The sequence below is a fragment of the Homo sapiens genome, chromosome 16, assembly GCF_000001405.40.
Source record: "Homo sapiens chromosome 16, GRCh38.p14 Primary Assembly".
Lineage (NCBI taxonomy): Eukaryota > Metazoa > Chordata > Mammalia > Primates > Hominidae > Homo > Homo sapiens.
In genome coordinates, this window is record NC_000016.10 from 2,937,672 (window position 1) to 2,958,475 (window position 20,804).

At 53.1% G+C, this 20,804-nt stretch overlaps 1 protein-coding gene and 1 long non-coding RNA gene across 26 annotated transcripts in view, besides 3 other annotated features; one reads left to right on the forward strand and one right to left on the reverse strand.

Annotated features, from left to right (window-relative positions):
* Positions 1-13,537, forward strand: part of FLYWCH1 (FLYWCH-type zinc finger 1) — a 39,278-nt gene extending 25,741 nt beyond the window's left edge. For 20 of the 23 annotated variants that reach the window (XM_047434780.1, XM_047434784.1, XM_047434776.1 and 17 more), the window contains 3 exons: positions 513-785; positions 2,361-2,421; positions 11,017-13,537. In XM_047434780.1, coding sequence (XP_047290736.1) covers positions 513-785; positions 2,361-2,421; positions 11,017-11,056 — 374 coding nt within the window. In that variant the 3' untranslated portion in view covers positions 11,057-13,537. Of the gene's footprint in view, positions 1-512; positions 786-2,360; positions 2,491-11,016 lie in introns of those variants that run through there. The other 3 variants (XM_047434774.1, XM_047434785.1, NM_020912.2) reach the window with 1 other exon arrangement.
* Positions 520-1,133: an enhancer, noted in NCBI's record as "H3K4me1 hESC enhancer chr16:2988192-2988805 (GRCh37/hg19 assembly coordinates)". NCBI's record gives its function as "activates a minimal SCP1, AML or CMV promoter by ChIP-STARR-seq in naive H9 embryonic stem cells {active_cell/tissue: H9 hESC(naive)}" and the evidence as "EXISTENCE:reporter gene assay evidence [ECO:0000049][PMID:30033119]".
* On the reverse strand, positions 792-18,486 carry FLYWCH1-AS1 (FLYWCH1 antisense RNA 1). Of its 3 annotated transcripts, XR_007064947.1 has the most exons (4): positions 18,199-18,486; positions 16,521-16,855; positions 5,656-5,813; positions 792-2,309 (listed from the first exon to the last, which is right to left on the reverse strand). It is a non-coding gene; the product is annotated as an FLYWCH1 antisense RNA 1 (long non-coding RNA). The 3 variants fall into 3 exon arrangements; XR_933011.3 differs by lacking the exon at positions 5,656-5,813 and having other exon boundaries at positions 18,199-18,480; XR_933012.3 differs by lacking the exons at positions 5,656-5,813; positions 18,199-18,486 and adding an exon at positions 17,428-17,527.
* Positions 17,635-18,556: an enhancer, noted in NCBI's record as "H3K27ac-H3K4me1 hESC enhancer chr16:3005307-3006228 (GRCh37/hg19 assembly coordinates)". NCBI's record gives its function as "activates a minimal SCP1, AML or CMV promoter by ChIP-STARR-seq in naive H9 embryonic stem cells {active_cell/tissue: H9 hESC(naive)}" and the evidence as "EXISTENCE:reporter gene assay evidence [ECO:0000049][PMID:30033119]".
* Positions 18,557-19,476: an enhancer, noted in NCBI's record as "H3K27ac-H3K4me1 hESC enhancer chr16:3006229-3007148 (GRCh37/hg19 assembly coordinates)". NCBI's record gives its function as "activates a minimal SCP1, AML or CMV promoter by ChIP-STARR-seq in naive H9 embryonic stem cells {active_cell/tissue: H9 hESC(naive)}" and the evidence as "EXISTENCE:reporter gene assay evidence [ECO:0000049][PMID:30033119]".

Consider the following 20,804-nt stretch of genomic DNA (forward strand, 5'->3'; position numbering starts at 1 on the left):
CTGCTGACGGGCCGTACGGTGGATCCTGGACACTCTTGGTCTACCCCCACGCCACCCACACTGCTTCTAGTCTCACGGGGTTCTCTCTGGCCACCCCAACATCATGTGACCTTTTAGTTCAGCTTGTTAAAAGTCAGCTGCCAGCTGGCTGAGGGGTAGGTGGACAGGGAGCCAGGAGGCCCTGGTGCCCAGCCCAGAAAGGCTCAGCCCCTGCCCTGGGGGATGCACCTGCAAGCATGAGGTCTGAGGGGTTGGGAGAGTCCTTCAGGAGCATTCAGGGTCCAGTGCTTGCCAGGCCACGTGCCCAGTCATCCCCAGAGCCCTTGGAAAGGGCCAGCCAGCGTGGGAGTCTGGGCTGCAGGGCCCAGAGGGGAGGAGGGCAGGGACCACCGTGCAGCGTGCTAGGGGATCGCAGATTCCTGGTGGGGCCTGGCTGGGGGATACAAATCAGACCCCCAGCCCTGCCACCCAGGCCCCTGTGGCCCCACTCACAGTGTCACTTTCCCTTTCAGATCCTCTCCGGCCCCTGGAGTTCCTGAGGACTTCCCTGGGGGGCAGGTTCCTGGTGCACGAGTCCTTCCTCTACAGGAAGGAGAAGGCGGCTGGGGAGAAGGTGTACTGGATGTGCCGGGACCAGGCTCGGCTGGGCTGCCGCAGCCGCGCCATAACCCAGGGCCACCGCATCATGGTCATGCGCAGCCACTGCCATCAGCCTGACCTGGCAGGCCTGGAGGCCTTGAGGCAACGGGAGCGGCTCCCCACCACGGCCCAGCAGGAGGACCCAGGTACAGGCAGGCTGTGGGGCAGAGGCAGGGCTGTGGGCATCCTCATCTCTTCCAGCTCAGAACTGATGCCCCAGGCCAGGCACCCACTGAGCAGACTGCTTTTGTGCACACACAAATTATTCATATAAACAGAATGTGAAACCAGTCTTTGTTTTTTTTTTTTTTTTTTTTTTTGAGACTGAGTCTTGCTCTGTTGCCCAGGCTGGAGTGCACTGGCGCGATCTCGGCTCACTGCAAGCTCCGCCTCCCGGGTTCACACCATTCTCCTGCCTCAGCCTCCCGAGTAGCTGGGACTACAGGTGCCTGCCACCAAGCCCAGCTAATTTTTTGTATTTTTAGTAGAGACGGGGTTTCACCATGTTAGCCAGGATGGTCTTGATCTTCTGACCTCGTGATCCGCCTGTCTTGGCCTCCCAAAGTGCTAGGATTACAGGCGTGAGTCACTGTGCCCAACCTTTTTTTTTTCTTGAGTCAGAGTTTTGCTCTTGTTGCCCAGGCTGGAGTGCAATGGAGCCATCTTGGCTCACTGCAACCTCTGCCTCCTGGGTTCAAGTGATTCTCCTGCCTCAGCCTCCCGAGTAACTGGGATTACAGGTGTGCACCACCACACCCGGCCAAAACCAATCTTTAGAAAGCATTGTGTGTCTCACTGTCATTCATGTGAATATTAAGGGCCATGTCCTGTATAACAGTAACAAATCCAAGTTGGCCAGGCACAGTGGCTCACGCCTGTAATCCCAGCACTTTGGGAGGCTGAGGCAGGCGGATCACCTGAGGTCAGGAGTTCGAGACCATCCTGATCAACATGGAGAAACCCCGTCTCTACTAAAAATACAAAATTAGCTGGACATGGTGACGCATGCCTGTAATCCCAGCTACGCTGTAATCCCAGCTGCTTGGGAGGCAGGAGAATCACTTGAACCTGGGAGGCGGAGGTTGCAGTGAGCCAAGATCGCGCCACTGCCCTCCAGCCTGGGCAACAAGAGTGAAACTCCATCTCAAAAAAAGAGAAGAAAAGAAAACAGCCTGGCCAACATGGTGAAACCTTGAAAGAAAACAGCCTGGCCAACATGGTGAAACCCTGTCTCTAAAAAAAAAGTTTATAAATCAGCTGGGCACAGTGGTGCACGCTTGTGGTCTGAGCTCCTCAGAAAAGGGGAGGATCACTCTAGCCCGGGAGGTTGAGGCTGCAGTGAGCCATGCACTGCAGTCCAGCCTGGGTGACAGAACAAGACCCTGTCTTTACAAGAAATTTTTTTGAGAAAAGGATTTCTTTGAGAAAGCCACTATCGAGCTTACAGAGAAAGTTGTGCTGGAGGCCTGGCCTTTCATCTTTGATGTCTAGTTGACCCCCACTATTTTCCATGACAGCAGCTGAAGGTCAACTCTTAGGAGCTCAAGTAGCTGCTGTTACCTGGGAAGGTAATTGATGCGTTGAATTCCCAGCGTTGCTTCACCCGGTTGTCTTTCTCCTCACAGCCTTGAGGGCGTCGTTAACAAGGTGTGTGTCCTTGGTTCTGTCAGCTTCAACAAGAGAAGAATTATTAATTCATATTTTCAATTATTTTTCCACAGAAAAGATTCAAGTTCAGCTGTGCTTCAAGACGTGTTCTCCTGAAAGCCAGCAGATTTATGGGTAATTGTATTTGTTATCTAATGGTGCATGACCAATTACAACAAAACGTAGTGGGCTTAAAACAACAAATATTTGCTGTCTCAGCTTTTGTGGGTCAACATTATGGGAGTGGTTGGGCTGGGTGGTTCTGACTCCTGAGGTTGAAGAGAATTTGTCAGCCAGGGTGGCAGTCATCTGAAGGCCCAAGTGAGGCTGGAGGCCCTGCTCCTCACCATAGGGACCCCTCCTTGGGCCCACTTGAGCATCCTTCACATGACAGCCATGGGACAGAGAGAGAACAAGAGGGAAGCTGCCAGCAGCAGAATTCAGGTTCTTCTCAACCACAGCCAGGCCATAAAGCAAGAGTCCATTATTTTATTTTTTGAGATGGAGTCTGTGTGTGGCCCAGGCTGGAGTACAGCGGCATGATCTCAGCTCACTGCAAACTCTACCTTCCGGGTTCAAGCAATTCTCCTGTCTCAGCCCCCTGAGTAGCTGGGATTACAGGCATGTACCACCACACCGAGCTGATTTTTGTATTTGCAGTAGAGATAGGGTTTTATCATGGTGGCCAGGCTGAGTCTCAAACTTCTGACCTCAAATGATCCTCCTGTCTCGGGTCTCCCGAGTGCTGGGATTACAGGCAAGAGCCACTGTGCCCAGCCTTGTTATTGGTTTGTAATTACATCCCACTATGGTCAAAGAACATACTTTGTATCATTTCAGTCCTTTCACGGCTGGATACAGTGGCTCATACCTGTAATTCCAGCACTTTGGGAGGCCAAGGCAGGCAGATCATTTGTAATTCCAGCACTTTGGGAGGCCAAGGCAGGCAGATCATTTGAGGTCAGGAGTTCGAGACCAGCCTGGCCAACATGGTGAAACCCCATCTCTACTAAAAATACAAAAATTAGTCAGGCATGGTGGTACATGCATGTAATCCAAGCTATTCGGGAGGCAGAGGTTGCAGTGAGCCAAGATTGTGCCACTGCACTCCAGCCTAGGTGACAAACAAAAACCAAATCAAAAACAGAGAAATTTGGGAAACTCAGAAATACGTAGAAATTAAAGAACACACTTATAAGAAACCAGTGAGTCAGACTGGGCATGGTGGCTCACGCCTGTAATCTCAACACTCTGGGAGGCAGAGGCAGGAGGATCACTTGAGCCCAGGAGTTTGAAACCAGTTGGGGCAACAGAGCATGACCCTGTGTGTAATTTAAAACAAACAAAACAATGAGCCAAAGAAGATAATTATAAAATACTTTGAAATAAAACTTATGGGATGCACTGAAAGCCGTGCTTAGAGGGAAATCTATAGCTAAAAACACTTCTATTAAAAAGGAAGAAGCCTGGGCAACATGGTGAGACCTCGTCTCTGCCAAAAACTCAGCCAGTCATGGTAGCATGTGCTGGTAGTATCGCTTGAACCTGGGAGATTGAGGCTGCAGTGAAGCATGATTGTACCACTGCACTCCAGCCTGGGAGACAGAGCAAGATCCCATCTCTAAATGAATAAACAGGGCCAAGCATGGTGGCTCACACCTGTAATCCTAGCATTTTGGGTGGCTAGGGTGGGAGGATCGCTTGAGCCCAGGAGTTCCATACTAGCATGGGCAAGACCTCATCTCCACAAAAAATAGAAAAACTAAAAAAAAAAGAACTAAAAGTCTGGGCGTGGTGGCTCACACCTGTAATCCCAGCACACTGGGAGACCGAGGGAGGTAGATCACGAGACCACGGGTTCAAGACCAGCCTGACCAACATGGTGAAACCCCATCTCTACTAAAGATAGAAAAATTAGCCAGGCGTGGTGGTGGGAGCCTGTAGCAGGAGAATTGCTTGAACCCAGGAGGTGGAGGTTGCAGTGAGTCGAGATTGCGCCACTGCACTCCAGCCTGGGCGACAGAGCAAGACTCATCTCAAAAAAAAAAAAAAAAAAAAAAAAAAAACTGAAGCAGAAGGAAGGAAATAAATAATAAATGAAACCAAAAGTTGGTTCTGTATAAGGATCAATAAAATTGACAAATATTTAGCTCTATCTACAGATCAAAAAAATTGAAAAGCAAGAATACTGAAAATACTAAAATCAGGAATAAAGATGAGACCTTACTATGGACCTCATTCTGGCAGAGTCTCATTCTGACACCCAGGCTGGAGTGCAGTGGTGCCATCTCAGCTCACTTGAACCTCACCCTCCTGAGTAGCTGGGACTACATGCACGCACCACCACGCCTGGCTAATTTTTCTATTTTTAGTAGAAACGGGGTTTTCCCATGTTGTCCAGGCTGGTCTCCAACTCCTGGGCTCAATCAGTCCACCTGCCTTGGCCTCCCAAAGTGCTGGCATTACAAGCATGAGCCGCAATGCTTGGCCCCAGCTCATTCTCTAAGACCAGTATCACCCTGATATCAAAACCAAGCAAAGGAATCACAAAGAGAAAACTACAGACCAGTATTTCTTAGGAACGTAGAATACCAGCAAACAGAATCCAGCAACATAAAAAAGGATTATATACCATGACCAAGTAAGATTTATCCCAGGAATGCATCAACATGCAAAACCAATTAATGTAACACAGCAGGCCTGAGACTGCTGCCCTAAGAACAGCCTGTGTGCAAGGTTCACCCTTGGCTGGCATCTGGGAACTTTTTTTTTTTTTTTTTTTTTTTTGAGACGGAGTCTCACTCTGTCGCCCAGGCTGGAGTGCAGTGGTGTGATCTTGGCTCACTGCAAGATCACTGTGAGTGATCCCAGGTAGCTGGGATTAGAAGTGCGCACCACCACGCTCAGCTAATTTTTGTATTTTTAGTGGAGACGGGGTTTCGCTATGTTGGCTAGGCTGGTCACGAACTCCCGACCTCAAGTGATCCACCCGCCTCGGACTCCTAAAGTGCTGGGATTACAGGCATGAGCCACCACGCCCAGCTGGCATCTGGGAACTTGACTGGTAAAGAGCTCCTATGTGGATACAATACTATCCCCAAATAACAACTGCTCACTCTTTTCTATACAAATCATGTGATATTTGCTGAACACTTGCTTTTCTTCTGAGCCTGGCATTTCGGTGACCATATTCAGTCACGCAGGCACAACGTACCTACATGAGCAACCCCCAGTGAAAACCCTGGACTCCTGGGCTCAGGCAGGCTTCCCTGGTAGAGAACACTTTGCACATGTCACAGCTCGAGGCTGGAGGATTCAGCACATTCTGCGGGAGGGGACCCCAGGGGAGGGGACTCTGGGGGCTTGTACCTGGTTTCCTCCGGCCCTCACCCCAAATGCATCTTCCTGTTACTAATTCTGCGTCGCATCTTTTCACCGTAGTAAATCCCAGCCACTAGTATGATGGTAGGCTAAGTCCTGTGAGTCCCTCAAGTGCAGTCACCAAGCCTAGTGTGTGATGGGGATGCCTGCATACCAGATCAGTAGAGAAAAGGACAAAAACCGTGTGATCACTGAATAGACACAAAACATTTGACAACCTCCAACACGCTTTCATGATAAAAACATTCAACAAACTAGGAATAAAAGGAGTTTCTTCAGCCTGATCAAGAGCATCCGTGAAAACCCCCACAAGCAGGCCAGGCGCGGGGGTTCACGCCTGTAATCCCAGTACTTTGGGAGGCCGAGGTGGGCGGATGACCTGAGGTCAGGCGTTCGAGACCAGCCTGGCCAACATAGTGAAACTCTGTCTCTACTCAAAATACAAAAAATTAGCCAGGCGTGGTGGCGAGCACCCGTAATCCCAGCTACTTGGAAGGCTGAGGCAGGAGAATCACTTGAACCCGGGAGGTGGAGGTTGCAGTGAGCCAAGATCACGACATTGCACTCCAGCCTGGGCAACATAGTGAGATCCCGTCTCTACAAAAAAATTTAAAAATTAGCTGTGTGTGGTGGTACATGCCCAGCTACTTCGGAGGCTGAGATGGAAGTGTCACCTGAGCCTGGGAGGTTGAGGCTGCAGTGAGCTGTGATCATGCATCTACACTCCAGCCCAGCGGACGGAGAGAGAACCTGTCTCAGAAATAAAAGTAGAGCACGACAGCTCCCACCTGTCATCCCAGCACTCTGGGAGGCTGAGGCGGGCGGATCACCTGAGGTCAGGAATTCCAGACCAGCCTGGGGAACATGGAGAAACTCCGTCTCTACTAAAAATACAATAGCCAGGCTTGGCTACAGGTACAGCGCACCTGTAATCCCAGCTACTTGGGAGGCTGAGGCAGGAGAATCGCTTGAAACTGGGAGGTGGAGGTTGTGGTGAGCCGAGATTGTGCCATTGCACTCCATCCAGCCTGGGTGACAAGAGTGAAACTCCATCTCAAAAAAAAAAAAAAAAAGATCACATACAATTATGTATAGTACCTAATATTTGATAATGATAATAAATATGTTATTAGATTATTTACTATACTTTTTATCATTACTTTAGAATATACTCCTACTTATTTAAAAAGTCAACTGTAGGCCAGCCACAGCATTGGCTCACACCTATAATCCCAGCACTTTGGTAGGCTGAGGCAGGCAGATCCCCTGAGGTCAGGAGTTCCAGACCAGCTTGGGAAACATGGTGAAACCCCGTCTCTACTAAAAATACAAAAATTAGCTAGGCATGGTGGCGCCAGCCTGTAATCCCAGCTACTTGGGAGGCTGAGGCGTGAGAATCGCTTAACCTGGGAGGTGGAGGTTGCAGTGAGCTGAGATGGTGCCACTGCCCTCCAGCCTGGGCAACAGAGTGAGACTCTGTATCAAAAAAAAAAAAAAATTTTTTTTAACTGTAAAACGGCCTCAGGCAGGTCCTTCAAGACTTTTTGGAGGTATCCAAAAGAAGGCACTGTCGTCATAGGAGATGACAGCTCTAAATGTATTATTGTCCCTGAAGACCTTCCAGTGGGACAAGATGTGGAGGTCGAAGATGGTGACATGGATGACCCTGACCCTGTGCAGGCCTAGGATAGTGTGTGTCTTAGTTTTTAAGCAAAAAATTCAAATCCTTGGCCGGGCATGGTGGCTCACACCTGTAATCCCAGCACTTTGGGAGGCTGAGGTGGGTGGATCACTTGAGGTCAGGAGTTCAAAACCAGCCTGGCCAACGTGAAGAAACTCCATCTCTACTACTAAAAATACAAAAATTAGCCAGGTACAGTGGCTCACGCCTGTAATCCCAGCACTTTGGGAGGCCGAGGCAGGCGGATCACGAGGTCAGGAGATCAAGACCGTCCGGGCTAACACGGTAAAATCCCGTCTCTACTAAAAATACAAAAATCAGCTGGGCGTGGTGGCGTGTGCCTGTAATCCCAGCTACTCGGGAGGCTGGGGTAGGAGAATTGCTTGAACCAGGGAGTTGGAGGTTGCAGTGAGCCGACATTCATGCCACTGCATTCCAGCCTGGTGGCAGAGCGAGACTCCATCTCAAAAAAAAAAAAAAAAAAAAATTAGCCAGGCATGGTGGCACACACCTGTAATCCCAGCTACTTGGGAAGCTGAGGCTGCAGTGCACTGAGATCGTGGCAGTGCACCGAGATCGTGCCACTGCTCTCCAGCCTGGAAGACTACATCTCAAAAAAAAAAAAAAAAATACTGTCTCAAAAAATTAAAGTCCAACTTAAAAATTTTAAAATCCTTAAAAATAAAAGCTTATAGAGGCCGGGTGCGGTGGCTCATGCCTGTAATCCCAGCACTTTGGGAGGCCAAGGTGGGCAGATCATGAGATCAGGAGATCAAGACCATCCTGGCTAACATGGTGAAATCCCATCTCTACTAAAAATACAAAAAATTAGCCGAGCGTGGTGGCAGGTGCCTGTAGTCCCAGTTACTCGGGAGGCTGAGGCAGGAGAATGGCGTGAACCCGGGAGGCAGAGCTTGCAGTGAGCCGAGATTGCGACACTGCACTCCAGCCTGGGCAACAGAGCGAGACTCCATGTCAAAAAATAAATAAATAAAAGCTTGTAGAATGAGGTTCTAAAGAAAATATTTTTGTACAGCTGTACAATGTATTTGTGTTTTAAACTGAGTGTAATTAAAAAAAGCAAAAAGTTTAAACATCAAGTTACAGTAAGCTTAGGTTAATTTATTACTGAAGAAAGTGTTTAAAAATGAGTGTAGCCTGAGTGTTGAGTGTTGTATACTAAGTGTGCAGGACATACACTAATGCTTTAGGCCTCCACGTTCACTCACCCACCCACAGCAACTTCCCACCCTGCAAGCTCCATTCATAATTCATGCCCTGTATAGGTGGGCTGTACTTTTTTTTTTTTTTTTTTTTTTTGAGATGGAGTCTCGTTCTGTCCCCCAGGCTGGACTGCAGTGGTGAGATCTCGGCTCACTGCAACCTCCGCCTCCCAGGTTCAAGCGATTCTCCTCCCTCAGCCCCCTGAGTAGCTCGGATTACAGGCGTGTGTCACCACACCTGGCTAATTTTTTGTATTTTTAGTAGAGATGGGGTTTCACCATGTTGGCCAGGCTGGTCTCGTACTCTTGACCTCAGGTGATCCACCTGCCTCAGCCTCCCAAAGTGCTGGGATTATAGGAGTGAGCCACTGTGCCTGGCCCAGAATTCTTACAACAATGAAAAGACAACCCAATTAACAAATGGCCAAAGGACCTGAATATATAGTTTCCCACAGAAGATTTGATTTCTGCCATGAATTCAAAGATATACAAATGGCCGATAGGGATAGATTCTCAACTTCATCAGTCTCAGGGAAATGCAAATCAAGACCACTGTGACAGACCACTTCACACCCACTGGGATGGCTATTTAAAAAGACAGCTAACAAGTGTTGGTGACGACATGGAGAAACTGGAACCCTCATACTCTCTTGGCGACGATGCAAAATGGCCCAGCCACTTTGGAAAACACTCTGGGAGTTCTTAATGTTCAACATAGAGGTACCCTATGACCCAGCAATTCCACTCCTAGGTATGTACCCAGGAGAACTGAAAACACATGTCCACACAGAAGTATACACAAATGTTCATATCAACATTATTCCTAATAGGCAAAAATTGAAAGCCCAAAATGTCCATCAATGAATGAAATACAGTCTATTTATACGATGAAATATTGTCCATAAAAAGGAACGAAGTACTGACGCATGCTACAATGAGGATGCACCTTGAAAACACCATCTTAAAGAAGCCAGTCACAAAGCACACAGAGTGTATGTAATTCTGTTCTTACGAAATGCCCAGAATAGGCACATTTAGAGAGACAGAAAGATTAGTGGCTGCCTGGGGCAAGGGAAGCTGAGGAGTGACACTAAGGATTTGGGGTTTCTTTTGGTGGGAGGTGAAATGTTCTAAATGTGATTGCAGTGATGGTTGTACAACTCTGAATTGTACACTTAACGGATTTTATGGGATGTGAATTATAGCTCAGTAGAGCTCTTAAAAAGCAAAAATCCCAGCCAGGTACAGTGGCTCACGCCAGTCATGCCAGCACTTTGGGAGGCTGAGGAAGGTGGATCACCTGAGTTCAGGAGTTTGAGACCAGCCTGGCCAACATGGTGAAACCCCATCTCTACTAAAAATACAAAAAATTAGCTGGGCGTGGTGGCACGCACCTATAATCCCAGCTACTCATGAGGCTGAGGCAGGAGAATCGCTTGAACCTGGGAGGTAGAGGTTGCAGTGAGCAGAGATTGCGCCATTGCACTCCAGCTTGGGCAACAAGAGCAAAACTCTTATCTCAAAAAAAAAAAAAAAAAAATCCCTTACAGTACTAAAACAGAACCTGATCACATGAGTTCAGGAGTTCGAGACCAGCTTGAGCAACACAGGGAGAACCCCATCTCTACAAAAAAAAATTTTTTTTTTAATTAGCCAGATGTGGTGGTGTGCACCTGTGGTCCCAGCTACTTGGGAGGCTGAGGTGGGAGGATCACTGGAGCCCAGGAGGTGGAGGCTGCAGTGAGCTCTGATGGCACCACTGCACTCCAGCCTGGGTGACAGAGTGACACCATATCTCAAAAAAGAAAATTAATTAAAGGAGAACTTTGTGTTTCTTGATGAAGAACCTTGAGGCTTGGGTGTGATGGCCTGTGGCTTCTAGGGCACGAATTGAAACTTTTTGGAAGTGTTGGGTGGTTCTCCCCCAAACATGCTGGTGTGGGAAGCAGGGAATTCCCCAGGTGTGTGTCACGAAGCAACCTCATGTTGTAAAGGAATTGATACGGATGGATGGATGTGTGTGTAAAAATGATCAGCCAGGTGAGGTGGCTCATGCCTGTAATCCCAGCACTTTGGTAGGCGGAGGTGGGTGGATCACCTGAGGTCAGGAGATCGAGACCATCCTGGCCAACATGGTGAAACCCCGTCTCTAATAAAATACAAAAAAAAAATTAGCTGAGCATGATGGCATGCACCTGTAGTCCCAGCTACTCAGGAGGCTGAGGTGGGAGAATCACTTGAACCCAGGAGGCGGGGGGTGCAGTGAGCCGAGATCGCACCACTGCACTCCAGCCTGGGTGACAGAGCAAGATTCCGTCTCAAAAATAAATGTTCTAGACTGTGGCATCCCCAGGAAAAAGGATTCCAGGAATCCTGAACTTTCTGTGTTATCTATTTCCACCATGTTTTGATGTGTGCAATGAACATGTGTCTCTTTGTAATTAGGGACATCAAAGACGTCAGACTGGATGGCGAGTCCCAGTGAGGCGATGTGGGCAGAGGAGCTCCGAGCCGCCCACCCAAGGTGGCTTCACATCCACACAGGCACTTCCCATCCACCTAGGTTTGGCTTAGCAGAAACTTCTTTTCATTCTTCCAAAGCATCGATGGTCTTCGCGTCTCCTCAGGAGGTCTCCCAGGAGGAATTCTTGGATGGTGTCCTCATGTCGGCGGAGAACAGTGCTCAGAGCTGGCGCTTGCAGACGCAGCTGTCGTGGGGCAGGGCGGTGGCGCCTTCCTGACCTTTGGAAGACATGACAAAGCTGCCTGGACACGGACGCCCCTGCTGTACGGCCACAGCACCCCTGGGTTTGCAGAGCACGCAGCCTTCCTAGGGCTTTCCACCTGGCGAGGCCCCGCTCTGCTCAGCACGGTGCAAAGTGAATGCTGCTGTCTTGGAGCCTGGGCACGTTTGGGGAAGTTCCTGCTTCAAACTGAGCTGCCCCGCATAGGCCAGGTCAACCCACACCAATCTCTTCTGGACAGGTGCTGGGTAGGCCTTCCTGGTCTCTGGCCGCCTGCTGCCAGGGTGTGGCCATCCCCAGCAACCGGAGCTGGCCAAACCAGAGGCCTCGCTCCGCACTCCACACTTTCCTTTCTGTGCTCCTTCCAAGTTAAATTAAACCCCCTCTCCACGATTCCCACGGCAGGCGTCATTCCCGAGATGGGAGCCAGTCCAGGGGTCAGCAGGAGCCAGCGCTGGGCACACGTGCCCTGGCTGAGGCCAGCGGCATCCTGGGTGGCCCAGGTCCATCCTGGGCAGCAAAGGCGTGTCCCCTTCTGTCAGACAGCTTCACAGAGTGTGGCTTCACCAGTCAGAGGGAGCAGTCCGGAGAGGCAAGATGACCCCACCGGGACTGCAGAGCCTCCTCCTTACTAACAAGGACCTGTCCGCAGCCGCGAGGTCCTTCACTCCCACCCTGTAATTGTGGGGGGAGTGCCAGCAACAGGCCTGTCCCCTGGCAAGTTGGCCACGGAACCCACCATGCACTGCAAGGCTGTGACAGCCTGGGCACCCCTGCTTCTCCTCTGCTTGTACGGTTCCCCCAATAAATCCTATTTTCCATCTCACCGTGTGGAGCTGGTACTTGTTCACATCCCTCTTGCAGCAACAGTTGGCCGCCGTGAAACCACACTCCGTCACATCTCCATGCCAGTGCCCAGGGGGAGACCCCTCCCCATGCCTGGGCTGTTACAGTCACCTGGCCCAGACGTAACCTGGACCAAGAGTGGACGGAGACACCTGGGGTTGGGGCCTCTGGAAGGGCTGCTGGGGGGCCAGCTGCAGCCTGTGGCCTCTCCCAGGCCCGGATATGGCAGGACATTTGCGTCGTGTTGCTGGAAGAGGCAGGATGCTCTGTTCTCGCCATTAGCCTGCGTTACGCCTAGACTCATCTGCATAAGCCTGGGCAAGTGGCACCCCTGGGCCAAGGGCAGACTTGCCCACCCGTCCATCCTTTGCCTATGGCAGAGGACACACAACACAGTGGCTGCGCTTTGGGCACTGTTCTCGGCCCTGAAGCATCCTGCCCCGAGGCTGACCTAACTGCCCCCAGCTGGACTCATGGCCAAGGCTACAGACCCAGTACTCCAATCCCGACTCCCACTGTGTGGTCCAAATGTGTACGCCCACAGGAGGCAGCCATGCCCGAGGAAGGTACTTGCTGAAAGATGGTCCAGTTCATGCCGCCACCAGCTGGACCTCTGATCAGGCCCCCTGCAGAAGGGGAAGCTCTCCACATGCCCAAGATACGAGAGAAACGCCCGGGTCACAGCAGCCTGAGTCACTGCAGCCTCTGCTACCTGCCAAGCCTGCGCCCTCCACCTGTGGGCTCCTTGCCTCTGTGATGGGGCCTCCACGGCCAGCATCTTCCCGCCATGGTCACATGATGCCATGCCCTGCTCTGGGCACCCCTAAGCGGGTATGAGGCGAATCAGAGGAAGAATATCGGCTTCTCTTCCCTTTTGGATATTTGCGTCATTGACCGGGACTGGCCCACTCTTCCTCTGCCTCACGCCTGCTTTGACCTTAGAAGACAGACGGCAGCTCGCGTTGCTGGGCTGAGATTCTCCAATGGACGTGAATTTAGATGATGCTGTTGCCTTGGGTGGCTTCATGGCCACCAACCCGCACCCTGGTGGCCACTCAGCCATGACAAGGGCCTGACAGCCACTAAGTGAGCTTCAGAGCCTTCCCCTTGCAAAGTTCCAGGGCCACCAGATGTCGCCTGCCCAGTCACTGTCACAGAGTTAAAGCGTGCGGGTGAACGCTGGCCGCGGAGCGTGCAGCCCGGCAGCAGCTCAGCGGGGCAGCTCCTGCTTCCAGCCCTGCCTCTGCTGGTGCTTCGCCCACAAACCCTGCTGTATGACATTTGCACCACATGGTGTGTGTCCGTGCCCTTTGACATGACAGTGCCAACAACATCTCATGAAATTTAAAATAAATCCCCAAGGCATCAGAAACGTATCAACTAAGAACTCTAAGTTTGAAAATGGGGGTGGGGCAGTGGCCAGTTCCGGGAGCCCCTGGCCCCCCGGGACCTGACCCACAGTCATAAGGTGGGCCCCATTCCCCAGTGGTCCCAGCCTAGCCTCCTGTCCCACCTCCTCTGCCAAGACAGAGTGGCACAGGACCCCTGTCGCTCAGGCCAGCAGGTGTGTCTCTGAGCTGGCCGTGGGCACTGACCGCCCTCCCAGGTCCCCTCCAGTGCCAGCTCTTCTGGCTTCCCCTCCCAGCCCCCTTCGTGAGCGCCTTGATCCAGCCCAACCTTGGAGTGGGGGTTGGTGATTTGGGGGCTGGACCTCAGCCCTCTTCTGCTCTGCCACTTTTGGGGTTCACGGTTTGTCAGCCCTCCCTTCTGCAAATGAGACCTGGACGTCATGTCCAGCTGCCTCCTGGGCCCTGCCCGGCATCTCCCATAAGCACCATGCAGCACAGGTGGCAGAGGGGATTGTCCTCCATCCTCTTGTCTGAGGGAGGAGACCACAAATGAGTGAGACAGTCATCCTCGCTGCCCTGCCTGTCCTGTGTCCCATCAGTCATCAGGGCCTGCCACCTGCCTTTGTCTTTTATTTATTTATTTATTTTTTAAGATGGAGTCTCGCTGTGTCGCCCAGGCTGGAACGCGATGGCGTGATCTCAGCTCACTGCAACCTCCACCTCCCTGGTTCAAGCGATTCACCTGCCTCAGCCTCCCGAGTAGCTGGGACTACAGGCGCACGCCACCATGTCCAGCTAATTTTTGTATTCTTAGTAGAGACCGGGTTTCACTGTGTCGGCCAGGATGGTCTTGATCTATTGACCTCGTAATCCACCCGCCTTGGCCTCCCAAAGTGCTGGGATAACAGGTGTGAGCCATAGAGCCCGGACCATCAATGGCTTTTAGTAAGTTCCTAGGGTTGTGCATCCATCACAACTATCTCATTCCAGAACATTATCATCACCCTGAAAGGCAGCCGCTTCCCCATTAGCATTTCCTCTCCTCTGCCTGTTTTCCTTTATTTTTTTTAGTTTTATTTTTTTTGAGGCAGTCTCACTCTGCTGCCCAAGTTGGAGTTGAGTGGTGTGATCGTGGCTCACTGCAACCTCCACTTCCTGGGTTCAAGCAATTATCTTGCCTCAGCCTACCGAATAGCTGGGATTACAGGTGTGTACTACCACACCCAGCTAATTTTTTAACTTTTAGTAGACGAAGGGTTTCAAAATCTTGGTCAGGCTAGTCTTCAACTCCTGGGCTCAAGCAAACTGCCCCCCTCAACCTCCCAAAGTGCTGGGATGACAGGTGTGAGCCACCATGCCCGGCCCCTCTGTCTGTCTCCTTCCCTCGTGTGCTAAGGAGCTGATGGGGCCCCTTTCTCTAGAGTGTAATGCTGAGAGGATCTGGAGAATCCGGGGAAGGCACTAGGACAGCAAAGGAGACCCTTTCCTGGGTCCCCGTATTCATAAACATTCCCATCCCTCAGCCCCTCACTCACGCAGGGCACTGCCACTGGCAGGTGTGGCCACATCAGTCTCCAAGCCTGTCATCCCTCAGCCCCTCACACATGCAGGGCACGCCCACTGGCAGGTGTGACCACAGCAGTCTCCAAGCCTGTCATCCCTCAGCCCGGCACTCACGCAGGGCACAGCCACTGGCAGGCGTGCACAGCAGTCTCCAAGCCTGTCTCCCGCCTGCATTGTCCCTCTGCCAAACCCGGCCCCATCACAGCTCAGCGAGAACAGGATGAGCTCAGCGCACACGCCAGCTCACACACCTGCCCAGGCACACTTTCCCCGGCCTCCTTTTTGAAACAGTCTCACTCTGTCACCCAGGCTGGAGTGCAGTGATGCCACCTTGGCTCACTGCAGCCTTTAACTCCTGAGCTCAAGCAATCCTCCCACCTCAGCTTCCCAAATAGCTGGGACCACAGGTGTGCACCAGCACACCCAGCTAGTTTTTTAATTTTTTTTTTTTTTTTTTTTGAAGCAGAGTTTCACTCTTGCTGCCCAGGCTAGAGTGTGGTGGTGTGATCTCGGCTCACTGCAACCTCCACCTCCCAGGTTCAAGCGATTCTCCTGCCTCAGCCTTCCAAGTAGATGGGATTACAGGCATGTGCCGCCACCACCCCCGGCTAATTTTGTAGTTTTTTTTTTTTTTTTTTTTTTTTTTTTTTTTATAGAGACAGGGTTTCACCATGTTGGTCAGGCTGGTCTCGAACTCCTGACCTCAGGTGATCCGCCCGCCTCGACCTCACAAAGTGCTGGGATAACAGGTATGAGCCATGGCCTAATTTTTTAATTTTTTGTGGAGACAGAGTATGTTGCCCTGGCTGGTTTCAAACTCCTGAGCTCAAAAGATCCACCGCCTCAGCCTCCCAAAATGGTGGGATTACAGGTGTGAGCCACCGCTCCTGGCTCTAAAAGTGGAAATCGAAGCGCATAACACCTGCCCCAGGTGTACTCGCCCTGTTTTTCCCATCAGGTGCGACTACCTGGTTCAAGGACCAGAAGCCAGACGTACCCAAGGGGGTTCTCAGGAGACAGAGGGTATGAGAGTCCCTGGCCTCAGGCTGCTAGCACCAGCCACGGTTGCCTCCAGATACCCGTTCCACCGGCCCTCCAGCCACCTGCTCTGCTTCCCGGCCTGCGTGGCCAACAGAACACATCCGGCTGCCGAGGAAGGAGGCCAATCACCCCCTTCCCCATACTGAAGCCCCAGAGGAATGGGCCCAGCTGGAGGCACTTAACCGTAGCCGGGGCCATTTTGTGCACAGGGCCTACCAGGCCCCCACTGACGAGGAGGGTGTTGGACCTGAGCGGGCTATCACTGCAGCCTTTGGGGGTCCACAACCTGCCTAATGAGCCTCGCCCCTCACCACCCCCCATCCTGCCAGCCCCTCTGCGCTCCAGCACACAATTGCTGCAGAACAAATCACTAGTAATTTATCATCTCGAAACAACACCCACTTACCTCATGGCTTCTGTGTGGCAGGAGTCCGGGGAGGGGACTGCTGAACCTCTGCTCAGGGTCTCACAGGCTGCACTCAAGGTGTCAGCCAGGGCTGGGATCTCAACCGAGGCGCGAGGTCCCCTCCTGAGCGCATGTCGTTGTGTGCATAATCTTTCTCGCAGCTGTGGAGCCGATGGCCATATGCTTCTTTGGCATCAGGAGGGGGCGGCTCTGTGGCTTCCAGCCTCTTAAAGGGTGCACCTGAGCTAGCCAGGCTCGGCCAGATCAACCTCCCTTCTGATGAACGCCAAGTCACCTGATTAGAAACCCCGGTCACACCTGCAGAAATCCCGCCACTGCAACACCACGGGAGAAGTAGAAAGAAAAAAAGTAAAAAGTCCTTCCACCGGTGCCACACAGAACAATCACAGGAGAGGTGGCCCATACTCCAGGGAGGGGGTCATGGAGCACAGAGACACCGAGGGGGGATCCTGGGGCCACCTCAGAATCCCGCCGGCCACAGCTCCCAGCCCACCCCTCACTAATCACCAAACTCCCTCCCTGACCTGGGAGGCGGTGTTGGGGGCCCTCCTGTGGAAGTGCCTTGGCTCGGAGGGACCCCACTGGGCTGTGCCCTGCCAGCCATGTGGTTCCAGACAAGTCCCTGTGGGCCCCACCCTCCCCCGTACTGCCCAGTCTAAGGCAGGAAGCCTCGGGGGCTGTGTGGGGTGCCCAAATGGCCCTTCCTGGGGTCCTGAGAAGAGGCCTGCCTGGACCTCACAGATCTGCTGGGGAGGCGGGGGTCGTGGGAAGGCCCCGGGGGGCAGGCCAGGGACCAAGCCGTGTCCCCCGTGAGGCCCGAGGACAGCATGGGATGCCAGGACCCAGAGGCCCCCACCTGCTCGGTGCTGCCCAGCCCTCTCCTCACCTGTTCCGGCCCCCACCAGCCCCTGGCTTGCCTCCGAGGTGCCCATCCACCCCTGCGGGGGGGTGGGGGTGCCGCGCAGCAGGGAGGAGCGGCCTCTACTGTCTCCCTCGGTGTCTCCCGGAAAGATCCCAAGCCCCAGGCCGGGGAGGGGCCGCTTCTGCCCAGTCCCTCCCTCCTCCACGCCTGACACCTGTGGGGCCAGTGCAGGAGCCCCACCTGTGTCTACACCGCCCTCCCCTCCTGGATTCCCTGTCACTCCGGCAACAGGAACAGTTGTTCTGAGCACTTGTCATGTTCGAGGCAAATACTCCTCCTTTCTGTGAAGCAATGTGGGGTGGGGGTCCTCCTTCTATCCAAAGCTGAGGGCCCTTCTAGTGCCCGTCAAGCCCTCGAGGTGGGGATGGCGGGGTAGGCAGCTAGGAGGGACTAGGCCCCCCTGAGGGGGGCTTCCAGTCACCCCTCATTCAGACTGAGTGGAGACCAGCTGCGGCCTTCCTGGGGACAGGACACCCCCAGCCCTGCCAGCGAGTGAGCCCTCACCGGGCCTGCAGGCCTGAGGCAGGGGGAGCCGGGGAGCGGGGTGAGCCGCTGAAAGTCCGGGGGGTGGGCACTGCTTTTTAGACAGCAGCAGGTCAAAGTCAGGAGGGTGAGGGTGGCCAGGACTCTGAGGGCAATGAGGGTCCCCGGGACATGCGAAGCCCCGCATCTGCCATGGTGCTGGGGGAGGGGCCCGTGGAGGAGGGGGTGGGCGGGGTCGAGCAGGTGGCTCACCTCCTTGTTCCGCCTTCCAGGAACCAGGTCATGGTCGTCCTCACTTGCTGGGAAGGGCGGGACTGGCTCTGCTCGCCCCCACACCAGCCCCCAGACCAGCTAAGGCTCTTGGTCTCTCACCTTCCAGGGGTCCCGTGCCCCCCCACCCTACTCAGGCCATGCACCACTGACCGGGCCTGGCCCTACCTGTGGACAGCCTCCCTCCCCAGGGTGCAGGAAGGGGCCTCTCTCCATGGAAAGTGAAGCCTCAACCTGAGCAGGAGGAACAGGAAGAAAGGGCTTGGCTCACCCGCCCCCAGCCCCTGGAGCTGCCCGTGTGGGCCCCTTCCTGCCCCTGTGCAACAACACAGTGAGCTGTTCGGACAGACAGGCAGACAGACAGACAGACAGACTCCTGCATTCAGAAAGAGCCCCAGCCCAGCCAGGGCAGGGCAGCTTCCAGCAACTCTTGCAGACATTTTGGAGGCCAAGGCCGCTAGCGCCCCAGCAGCCATTCCGAGCCGACTGGCCTGGGGCCCAAATGAAGCCAGCCAGCCCTGGGCACTCCCGGGCCCTGCCAGCCTTGGGGTCCTCATCTGAGAAGGGCGGGTCCTGCAGGCCAAGCCACTGGGGTGACAGCCAGTCATCCAGCATCCCCATGGGAAAACCCCTTCAAATCCACCCAGGAGCTCAAGGGCTGAGTTGAACTCTGAGTTTCCAAATCAGGGCCCCTCCCTGGCTCTGCCCACGCTGGTGACCAGAGCATCTAGGACAAGCCGGCAGCAAGTGACCCCATCCCACCGAAATAAGCCTGGCTTTGGTCATCTCGCCCCCTGCTGTGTCCCACTGTCACCCATTCCTCAGGTGGTGGGGGAGGCGCAGAGGAACCAGGCAGCTAAGGAGGCAATGGCGGGCGGGGCAGACAGCAGGCTGGAGGGGTAGAGATCAAGGAATGCTTCTCAGAGGAGGCAGCTCTGAGCTCCGCAGCACAAATTTATTAAGTGAAGATGTAGGGAGAAGCACATCAGGCTGAGGGAACCGCAGTACAGCAGCCCAGAGCGGAGAAAGGACCGGACCTGGAAAACCAGGAGGAGATCATGCTGGGGTGTGGGGAATGTGGTGGGGGTGAGGTCACGGAGGGAGGCATGAGCCAGCCCAGGCAGCACCTTGAAGTGTTCTGAGAGCTTCCAGAGCATTCTTTTTTTTTTTTGCCCCTGCTCCCTCACCCAGCCTGGAGTGCAGTGGCGCGATCTTGGCTCACTGAAACCTCCGCCTCCCAGGGTCAAGGGATTCTTTTGCCTCAGCCTCTTAAGTAGATGGGATTACAGGCGTGTGTCACCACGTCTAGCTAATTTTCGCATTTTTAGTAGAGATGGTGTTTCACCATGTTGGCCAGGCTGGTCTCGAACTCCTGACCTCAAGTGATCCACCCACCTCGGCCTCCCAAAGTGCTGGGGTTACAGGCGTGAGCACCTGAGCCTGGCCAGTTTCCAGAGGATTCTTATCGGACCAGAGACACAATCTGATTTAATGTTTAATGACTCTCCAGTCATGTATCTGATAGTTCAGTGTTTAATTACCAGAGAAAAGACTGGTTGCTGGCAAGGATGGCAAAGGGTGAGTGTGAGGAGTTAGACGTCAATCGGGTGAGCAGTTGTCCAGGCAAGAGCAGGAGGTTCCAGCCAGGGTGTAAAAGAGACCAGAGATTGTTAAGAGATGTTACACGTTAAGTTGTGTCCTCTAAAATTTACATGTTGAGGCCAGGTGCAGTGGCTCACGCCTGTAATGCCAGCACTTTGGGAGGCCAAGGCAAGTGGATGACTTGAGGTTGGGAGTTCGAGACCAGCCTGGCCAACATGGCGAAACCCCGTCTCTACTAAAAATACAAAAACTAGCCGGATGTGGTGGCGGGTACCTGTGATCCCACCTTCTCGGGAGGCTGAGGCAGGAGAATCACTTGAACCCAGGAGGCGGAGGTTGTAGTGAGCCCAGATGGCACCATTGCCCTTCAGCCCGGGTGACAGAGCGAGAATCTGTCTCAAAAATATATATATACGTAAAAATAAATAAATAAAATTCACATGTGGAGGCCAGGCGTGGTGGCTCACGCCTGTAATCCCAGCACTTTGGGAGGCTGAGGCAGGCGGATCGCTTGAGCCCAGCAGTTCAAGACCAGCCTGGGCAACATAGCGAAACCCCATTTAAAATAAAAAAATAGGGGCCGGGCACAGTGGCTCAAGCCTGTAATCCCAGCACTTTGGGAGGACGAGGTGGGTGGATCACAAGGTCAGGAGTTTGAGACCAGCCTGCCCAACATAGTGAAACACCATCTCTACTAAAACTACAAAAAATTAGCTGGGCGTGGTGGTAGATGCCTGTGATCCCAGAAACTTTGGAGGCTGAGGCACGATAACCGCTTGAACCCGGGAGGCGGAGGTTGCAGTGAGCCCAGATCACACCACTGCGCTCCAGCCTGGGCCATAGTGCAAGACTCCGTCTCAAAAATAAATTAATTAATTGAATAAAATAAAAAAATAAGGCCAGGCGTGGTGGCTCATGCCTGTAATCCCAGAACTCTGGGAGGCTGAGGTGGGTGGATCACCTGAGGTCAGGAGTTCGAGACCGGC